Raw genomic sequence first — 9,456 nt, forward strand, 5'->3', positions numbered from 1 at the left:
CCATTCCCAAAATCGATACCATAACCAGACAATGGATTTATGAGAAAAAAATTTTAGGCCTATTTTACTCATAAATATTGATGCAAAAACACTAAATAAAATATTAGCAATTAAAATACCAACATGCATTAAAAATAATACACTATCTTTTTTTTTTTTTTTGGAATCTTTTTCTGTCACCCAGGCTGGAATGCAGTGGCATGATCTAGGCTCACTGCAACCTCCGCCTCCTGGGTTCCAGCGATTCTCCTGCCTCAGCCTCCTGAGTAGCTGGGACTATAGGCGCACACCACCATGCTGGGCTAATTTTTGTATTATTAGTAGAGACGGGTTTTGCCATGTTGGCCAGGCTGGTCTTGAACTCCTGACCTCAAGTGGTCTGCCTGCCTTGGCCTTCCAAAATGCTGGGATTACAGGCATGAGACCAGCCTGGCCAACATGGTGAAACACCATCTCTACTAATTATACAAAAACTAGCTGGGTGTGGTGGCTCATGCCTGTAATCCCAGCTACTTGGGAGGCTGAGGCAGGAGAATCGCTTGAGCCTGGGAGGCAGAGGTTGCAGTGAGCCAAGATCATGCCATTGCACTCCAGCGTGGGTGACAAGAGCGAGACTCCAAATCAAAAAACAAAAAACAAAAAAAACACCAAACTATATCTATATCTATCTCTTTATATCTATCTGTCTGTCTATCTATCATCTGTCTATCTATCTATCTATCCATCCAGATATGTTTAAGACTGAACAGCGAAAGGTTGCTTAAACAAGAGACAAAAAAATGACAATAATGTAAGAGATAAATACATTTGACTGTAATAAACTTAAGAACATGTGTTCTTCAAAAGCTACCTTAGGGAAAGCAAAAGTAAAGAAACTAATTACAAACTGAGAAGAGATAGTCAACAACAATAGATCAGTGTCAAGAATACATAAAAAAATTCCACAAACCAATAAAAAAATAACAACCCTATGGAAAAATGATCAAAAGACATAAATGGGCCAGGCATGGTGGCTCACGCCTGTAATCCCAGCACTTTGGGAGGCTGAAGCGGGTGGATCACTGGAGGTCAGGAGTTAAAGACCAGCCTGACCAAGATGTGTAACCCTGTCTCTACTACAAATACAAAATTAGCCAGGTGTGGTGGTGCATGCCTGTAATCCCAGCTACTTGGGAGGCTGAGGCAGAAGAATTGCTTGAAATCGGGAGGTGGAGGTTGCAGTGAGCCGAGATCATGCCACTGCACTTTAGCCTGGGCAACGAGAGCAAAACTCTGTCTCAAAAAAAAAAAAAAAAAAAAAAAAGAGAGAGAGAAACATGTATGGCCGATAAACACAAGAGAAGATTTTCAACGTGTTTAATGATCAGAGAAACACATTATAATCTCTAAAATTTGTTTTTACCTCTGTTAATTGGCAATTAAAAATCTGACAACGTGAAGCTTTAACAAGATTATAGAGCCACAGAACCTCTTGGCTGGGTGTGGTGGCTCACATCTGTAATCCCAGCACTTTGGGAGGCCGAGGTGGGAGGATCACGAGGTCAGGAGTTCGAGACCATCCTGGCCAACATGGTAAAACCCTGTCTCTGCTAAAAATACAAAAATTAGCTGGGTGTGGTGGTGTGTGCCTGTAATCCCAGCTACTCGGGAGGCTGAGGCAGGAGAATCGCTTGAACCCGGGAGGCGGAGATTGCAGTGAGCCAAGATGGCACCATTGCCTGGGCGACAGAGTAAGACTCTGTCTAAAAAAAAAAAACTAAAAAAACCCTCTTATACTCATAGGGATGTATGTTTGTGAAACACATTGGAAAATGGCTTGGCCTTCTCCCCTAAAATTGGACATCCACATACCCTATTACCCAGCAATTCCACCATTAGGTTTATATTCAAAAGAAACTCTCATGCACATAAAACAGGAGATTTGAATAAAAACACTCCTAGCAGCATTTTTCACATTAGCAAAACCTGAAAATAACTCAATGTCCATTAATGGAAAAGTGAATGGATAATTGTGGTCTATTTACACAGCGAAATATTATCCAGCAATAAAAATAAATGAACTCAACCATAAACAATAATATGAATAACTTTAACAATAATACTTGCTGGAAAAAAGTAAGTCTGAAAAACTTACATACAATATCATATCCTTTTTTTGGGGTGGGGGGTCTCACTCTGTTGCCCAGGCTGGAGTGCAATGGCATGATCATGGCTCACTGCAGCCTCAACTTTCCTGGGCTCTTGTGGTCCTCTTAACTCAGTCTCCTGAGTAGCTGGGACTACAGGCACTACACCATGTCTGGCATTTGTTTTTTTTTTTGTATTTTTTGTGGAGACGGGATTTTGCCATGTTACCGAGGCTGGTCTAAAACTCCTGGGCTCAAGCCCTCCACCCACCTCAGCCTCCCAAAGTGCTGAGATTACAGGCATGAGCCACCAAGCCTGGCCTCATTTCCTTTTTATAATTTCTAAAGTAACTCAAGTTTTATGAAAACACATCTTTTAGAAGCACACATAGACGCAATAGAACTTATTTTGAAAGGAGGGCACAGAGCTGATGGACAGAGGATTAAGAATGATTATCTTGGTCAGGTGGAGTCAAGAGGATGTGATGGGGCGGGACCATATGTCAAGGTTATTGTCAGGATCCTCGTTTTTGTTTGGATCTGGTGCATTCACAGGTGCTTATATTATTTAAAATAACTAAGTAAAAACAAGCCATTTATAGACCAATAGTGAGGGTGTGTCATAAACCAAGGACAATACTCAGTCCAGTTGTGTGTACTTGAGTTCCAATGGAAAGAACAAAAAGTAGAAATGGAAGCTGGACAAAAGTTAGATGAAATTGTAACATTTTTTTTCAATTGATGTCATTTCAGTTCATTTACCACGTCTGTTATATCTCAAAGCACTCTGCCAATCAGTAACAATGGACTGAAATTCTCCTGGAGGGAGATGTCAATAGTCACTTGGTAGGTTGACTTCTCAAACTTACAGATAGCCAAGCTGGAAGGGAGAATCTTGTGGTAGAAATAGTCTGGGTCAGGTTCTTCGTGCTTGGATGAATTAACTGTGTTGCTTCTACCCATGTGGTCGCTTGCTCAGGATCTAAAGTCCCTAGAGAGAGAGAGCACCCATATGTTCAAGCATGGTGCTCCTTTACTTTGGTACTACAGTGGCTAGAGGAAGAGCCTTGCTGGCAGAGTCTCCAGGAATCACTTCGGCATCTATAGTGAAAGCACAGATGGAGACATTTACTGTATTACCACGACGTCACACCATGGGAAAGGAGAAGAGATGTTAGGTGGCCGAAGCACCTAACATATAATTTAAACATTATAGTATTAGTGGTAATAACAACACCTACCCTTTATGAAGTGCCTACCATGGGTCAGTCTCTTCAAAGACATTACTCTCTATCTTGACTATAAGCAGTAAGAGGACAGGGCTTCTGTCTTGTTCTAGGCATCTGGATCAGAGCCTAGTACATTGCATGCACTTAGTTAATATTTCAGTTGAATGGCCACCCAGCCTCCCAGCAGTGTCGTGAGGCAGGTATTATTCTTGAGAGAGAGGAATAGTAAGCGTGTGCCCTTCCCATGACCATCACTCACCATGCTCCACTGATTCTGCTTCCTCAGTACCTCTCAGGTCTGGTCTCTGCAGCTTCTCCTCATTGCCCCTCCTATCGGGCCCTTCTCATGGTTTGCCTGGAATGTTGCATGATCTCTCGCTCAGCTTCCTGGGCCCTAGCTTCCACATTTACAATCTATTCCTTGCGTTGCCACCGGAGTTTCTTTTTAAAAACGTATGACTTGCTGCTTCTATGGAGTAGGGCAAGTTTCCTAAAAGGGATAGGAAAACATGCGAGGTGGTCCAACACTATGGTTCACGACAGAAGGAAAGAGTTCTGTAGTATCGTGTGCGTGCTGTGTGCATCCTATATGTGTATTCAGGGAGTCGTTATTGGGACCACAATTTAAGAAGGAGGTTAATTAAAACCCTACCATTTATTGATCGCATACTTTGAACCTGATCTTGCCTATACCATTTTATTGAATTCTCACAATAATTTTTTGAGGTAGGCAATTCTGGTTCCACTTTACAGATGAGTACACCAAGGCCCAGAAAGGTTAGGAAGGGACAAGGTCACACAGCTAGTGAATGGTGGTGTTAGAATCTCCCACTCCCATCCCACCCCTGAGCTTTCTGGCCCCCGAGTCTCCTACTTACAAATAACTGCATCTGGAAGAATGTGTTCATGGCACTGGAGGATGCAATAGAGGAAAAGGGCTGACTGGACCCAGAAAAGAAAGACAGGAATAGTTTCAAACAGTGAGTTCCTGGACCCTAGGAGATCCCCCCACCTTCCCTGTGGAGTCAGAGAAGCCGAGGAGACTGCTCCTTCCTTGCATGAGAAGTTGAGGGAATGACTTGTGATCCCCACCTACTTTTTTTTTTGAGACAAGGTCTCAGTCTATCACTCAGGCTGAAATGCAGTGGTGTGATCATAGCTCACTGCAGCCTTGAACTCCCGGGTCCAAGCAATCCTCCCACTTCGTCCTCCTGCGTAGCTGGGACTATAGGTGTGCAGCACCACACCAGGTTAATTTTTAATTTTAGTTTTGTTGAGATGGGGGTCTTACTATGGTGCCCAAACTGGTCTCAAACTCCTAGGCTTAAGCGATCCTCCCTCCTCAGCCTCCCACAATGCTGGGATTCCAGGCATAAGCCACCATTCCAAGCCTGACGTACAGTTTCATAACTCTTTCTTTTCCACCTCCTTCTTTGCCATTTGTTTCTGAGCCACTCAATTCCAGTTAGCACTTCCACTGAGGAAGGGCTGTGAGAAGGGAGAAGCAGTGGCTAGAAAAAACAAATTAAATTAATTAAGGTCAGTTAATGAATTTATCTCTGAGTAGAGGGACAGAGTGACGGAAATGACCATTGCTGGGAGTGGAAGCAGGTGGGTTCCAGTCCCAGCCCTGCTATGGGCTATGTGGTCTTAGGGGTGGCACTCATCCATGCACTTGTCACCTGTGGAATGTGGGGCTCAGGTCAGATACTCGGTCCTTCCCTGAATCTTCAGTGAGTTTGGGAGAAATGAGCATAGATACGTGTTACGGTTTCCCTACAAGAATGTTCATGCAGCTTTACTTCTAAGAGCAAAACATTTGGGGGGAAATAAGGGCTTATGTGTTTTTTTTAGTAAAAATGATTAAAACTTGCCTGTGGCTGGGACTTGGAATGGGGAGCGACTGCAAATGGGCCCAAGGGATCTTTTTGGGGTGATGGAAATGTTCTAAAACTGGATTGTGGTGATGATTGCACAACTCTGTAAATTTATTAAAAACCATTGGATGCTATGTAAATTATATCTCAATAAAGCAGTTAAGATGATTATAAATGCGGGAGAAAAAGATCCCATATCATGGTGGTTGCCTTACAGATACCTCACTTTGTGGAAGGCATTCTGGAGGAGGCGATGATGAGCAAACTACACTCCTGTGTTTCTACAGAGCTGTTAAATTAGCCCAGTGTGGAGAGGGGCATGAATACAAATTGCTCTATCGCATGAAAGCATGTGGTTAAATGGTACCAAAGAAAGAAAAATCAGAATCAGGAGGAGGAATTTAGGAGAGCTTGATGAGATCCAAACGAAGATGAAAATCGAGGCAGAATCTGTGAGTGGCTAAAGACAGAAAAAGGAAGGCTGTGCGGCCCATGAGCAGTTCCACTGAACATTGGAAAAGGGCGGTGGGGGGACCAGATACTGCACCCAGGCACCTAGTGACCAGTTGGTCCAGGATGGGCCCAGAGTGGCTGTGGAGAGAGGAGTCTGCTGGCAACCACAGTCATTCAGCCATGTAGTTGTGGTGTGTGCCTGCAAGGCTGGGCTTTGGAACTGGGGAGGACATGGCTATCAGCTAGGAAGTGGCAAAACCAGAATCTGGGATCCAGAAGAATAACTCTGGTGCTTGGCCCTCAACCACAAAGCCACACTGGCCCTCAACAACAATGCCACATTGCCTGCCTTACTGAAAAGGAGACTGAAGCTCAGAGGGGCTGAGTGAGTTGCTCAAGGTCACACAGCAGGAAGTAGTAGGGCTGAGAATTAAATTCAGGTCTCCTGGTGCCAAAGCTGAAGCAGATCCCACCAGTCTTGCCTCTCCACTGCTAAGGAGGACACAAGGACACAGCTAGTCCTGCTTTCATCCTCCTGGGACTCTGCCTGCCTGGGGAGGGGCCGAGGTACAGAGGGAGGGCTGGGTTGAGGCTATTCTTTCAGCTGCAGTCATGTGGTTGGGGAGAGCCATATTGAGAAGGACTCAACATAGCTCTCTATAAAGAGGAGCCTTGGAGCTCCCCTAAGTTCTCCTTTTGGGGTGCTTGTCATTTGTCCTGGCAGGAAATGGCTTGACTAGATGCCTGCTCAGCATCTGAAAAGGCTGACAGCTGTGCACAAGGAGACAGCACTTTGCCATGTTCACCCAAGGAGAAGGGAAGGGCAAAGTCTTTCAACTCAACCCCTTCACAGTGTGCCTTTCTGCCTTACGATTTGCTTTAAGAGCTCTCATTATTTTATTTAATGCAATAACACACACTGAATTCTTACTAGAACCAGCATTCAATCACGGCTCAATGTCCAAATTTATCCCTGAGCTGGCAAGACTCCCAAGCCAGGTGTACGTGCGTCCCATGCAATGCTTGACTCTCTCTGGAGTGATCTTGAGAGGTAAGCCAGGGACAGTGCGGGAGGAAGGAAGGGGACACAGTGTGTCCTGGGTATTATCATCTGCTGCATTATGAGGAGACCTGGACTGAGAGAAGGGAATCCATTCCTCAGAGGCTGGAACGTGGCTTACCTTCTTTCCACTCCTGCCGTAACCACTTCAGTCCCAGGACAGCAGTGTCTGCAGGAACCGCTGTCCTACCACAGGGGGAGTCCCTGTGCCTCTGTAATTCCTGTGACTCCTGCCTTGGCTCCTGGTCTGCTGTCCATTCCCAGGGCACATGCTGGACCCTGTGTTTGTTCCCAGAGCAGCTCCTCTTCTGAAATCTTCACTTCCAATGCTTCACTTTCTGACCACAGTCCCACAATATGCCTTCATAGCTGAGCCCTGCTGGAGAAAAATCAAGTGGCCTGTAGATTGGCCTGGGGCCCAGCCTCAGCGGGGCATTTGGTGTCACTCAGCAACCACTTGACCTGGTCCTCTGAATGATTCCCCTTAATAACCGTCCACACCGTCACCATTTTCTTCAAGCTCTTCGCCCCAATGTTGCCCCCTCTGTCACCTACTTTAGTGAGCAAATTGCTGTGCGTTGGGTGCCCCATGTACTTGCCACATGGGTTTATAATGATTTATTTATGTATTTGTTTCCCCAACTCGACTGCATCCTTCTTTGGGTCAGGATCTGTCTCCTATTCATCTTCCTTTCCCTGTTGCCTGATCCAGCACCTGCAACCTCCTGTGGCTTAATCACTGTTGCCAAGTGAATAAGAATAGATCAAGGGGTCAAGGCAAAGGCTCATAGCGGAGGCTGGCTCAGGGAGATGACCCACACACTTGTTCCTGTGAGCTAGGAGGAGCTCAAAGGGCCTCCAGGGACCTCTATGCTGCTCAGCTGGCATTGAAATAAGAGAAGACCAGTAACTGCTCTCTGCATTCTAAAATCCTATGTTGGGAGATGAAACGCAAAATCTGAGGTCATTCAGTCCTTTACAGTGCGGTTTCCATGGCAACTGTGGCCAAGGCCTGGGTAGGGGCAGCTGTGCCTCCTGAGGCCAGGCCCAAGTCCCACCTGTGTGTAGAAGAAGGGCACCCTCGTCCTTTCTGCATCGGGCAGGTGTACATGGGTTTCCAAGTCTTTTCTCTCCCGATTCACACACCCCGAGCAGCAGTGGAGCCATGAACTTCCTGCAGAGTTGAGAGCTTGGGAAAGCGGGGCAGGACAGACTAACCCTGAAGGACTGAGCTGCACCCACACACCCTGGACTCCTCAGCCCACCCACAGGTGCCACCATCCAAAGTCACTTGACCTGGGTGGACTGGGAATAATTCCGCCTCTTTCTTCTGGGAGTGGGGGTTTGAGGGAGTTGTGTGAAGACAATTTTTGTGTGTTTCTCACCACTCTCCTGCCCCTCTGCGATATCACTGGGCTTTATGACCAAGAACTTGCTCTTCTGGGTCTCAGTTTCCTCATCTGCACAATGAAAGGGCCACACTCAATGTTAGCAGGTCCTGGCCAGGTGTGGTGGCTCACGCCTGTAATCCTAGCACTTTGGGAGGCTGAAGGGGGCAGATCACCTGAAGTCAGGAGTTCGAGAGCAGCCTGGCCAACATGGTGAAACCCTGTCTCTACTAAAAATACAAAAATTAGCTGGGTGTGGTGGCATGCACCTGTAGTCCCAGGTACTTGGGAGGTTGAGGCAGGAGAATCGCTTGAACCCGGGAGGAGGAGGTTGCAGTGAGCCGAGATCGTGCCACCACACTGCAGCCTGGGCAACAGAGCGAGACCCTGTCTCAAAAAAAAAAAAAAAAAAAAAAGAAAGGGAAAGAAAAAAGGAAAACAAAAATAGCAGGTCTTAAATACACTGCGTTTCTGTGTCTGCCAGCTCCTACCACCTTCTCTTCATACCCCCTCTTCACTTCCCTCTCTCCTCCTCTGTCTCTCCACCCCCTTCCTCCTCATCTCCCTCCTCATCCTCCTCCATATCTCCTCCCCATCCTCCTTACTTGTCTTCACCTGGTTCCTGGTGACCCAGACCCCGTCGCTCTGCCTGATGGCCTCTTGGTTTCTCTGGAGCAAGGTCCTGGGAGCCTCCTTGACTTTCTCCTGGGCCTTTGAACCCTGCCCTAGTCCATCCCTGAATAGAGATGGGAGTAGGGAGAGAAAGTGGCAGACCAGGCTGCTATGTGGCATGCTTGCCCCCACATTATGGAGCGGAGATCTCTGGGTCTGTTCTCCAGGTGCTCCCTGCACCCAGCCCAGCTCAGCCATGCCTCTTTCTCTTGCCTTCTGGGACTCATCTACTAGGCCTTTTCCTTATCATTTCCATAACAAGCTCTTTGCCTCTGCTTCCTCCTCAAGCTAACTTTCCTTCTCCCACCTTTCTGTCCTGGCTCTCCCTCCCAGCAGTCTAGCTCCACCTTTCACTCCTTAAGACTGCGATTTGGTGGACAACCCACAACTGCCCTGAACTGAGTCCTTTGAAGGAGATTTGAAGTCTACAAACTGCCAAACTCAATCACTTGACTCAGTTCTCATCCTTCCCATGGGGGTGGCATCTTGTTTTCATCACGGAACACTGTGTCACATAGTTCACTGAATGCTGGGAAAGTGCCCAAATGCTTTGTGGGGCCAGGCACGGTGGCTCACATCTGTCATCCCAGCACTTTGGGAGGCCAAGGCAGGTAGATCACCTGATGTCAGGGGTTTGAGACCAGCCTGGCC

General features: G+C 46.7%; 1 long non-coding RNA gene across 2 annotated transcripts, besides 2 other annotated features; it reads right to left on the minus strand.

Moving 5' to 3' along the window:
- Positions 1-2,897: 2,897 nt before the first annotated feature.
- On the minus strand, positions 2,898-7,554 carry LOC105373115 (uncharacterized). Of its 2 annotated transcripts, XR_949220.2 has the most exons (4): positions 4,756-4,847; positions 4,234-4,297; positions 3,615-3,845; positions 2,898-3,227 (listed from the first exon to the last, which is right to left on the minus strand). It is a non-coding gene; the product is annotated as an uncharacterized LOC105373115 (long non-coding RNA). The 2 variants fall into 2 exon arrangements; XR_949221.2 differs by lacking the exons at positions 4,234-4,297; positions 4,756-4,847 and adding an exon at positions 6,867-7,554.
- Positions 7,015-7,709: an enhancer, noted in NCBI's record as "OCT4-NANOG-H3K4me1 hESC enhancer chr1:226707962-226708656 (GRCh37/hg19 assembly coordinates)". NCBI's record gives its function as "activates a minimal SCP1, AML or CMV promoter by ChIP-STARR-seq in naive and primed H9 embryonic stem cells {active_cell/tissue: H9 hESC(naive and primed)}" and the evidence as "EXISTENCE:reporter gene assay evidence [ECO:0000049][PMID:30033119]".
- Positions 7,710-8,402: an enhancer, noted in NCBI's record as "OCT4-NANOG-H3K4me1 hESC enhancer chr1:226708657-226709349 (GRCh37/hg19 assembly coordinates)". NCBI's record gives its function as "activates a minimal SCP1, AML or CMV promoter by ChIP-STARR-seq in naive H9 embryonic stem cells {active_cell/tissue: H9 hESC(naive)}" and the evidence as "EXISTENCE:reporter gene assay evidence [ECO:0000049][PMID:30033119]".

This window comes from Homo sapiens, chromosome 1 (assembly GCF_000001405.40).
Source record: "Homo sapiens chromosome 1, GRCh38.p14 Primary Assembly".
Classification (NCBI taxonomy): domain Eukaryota; kingdom Metazoa; phylum Chordata; class Mammalia; order Primates; family Hominidae; genus Homo; species Homo sapiens.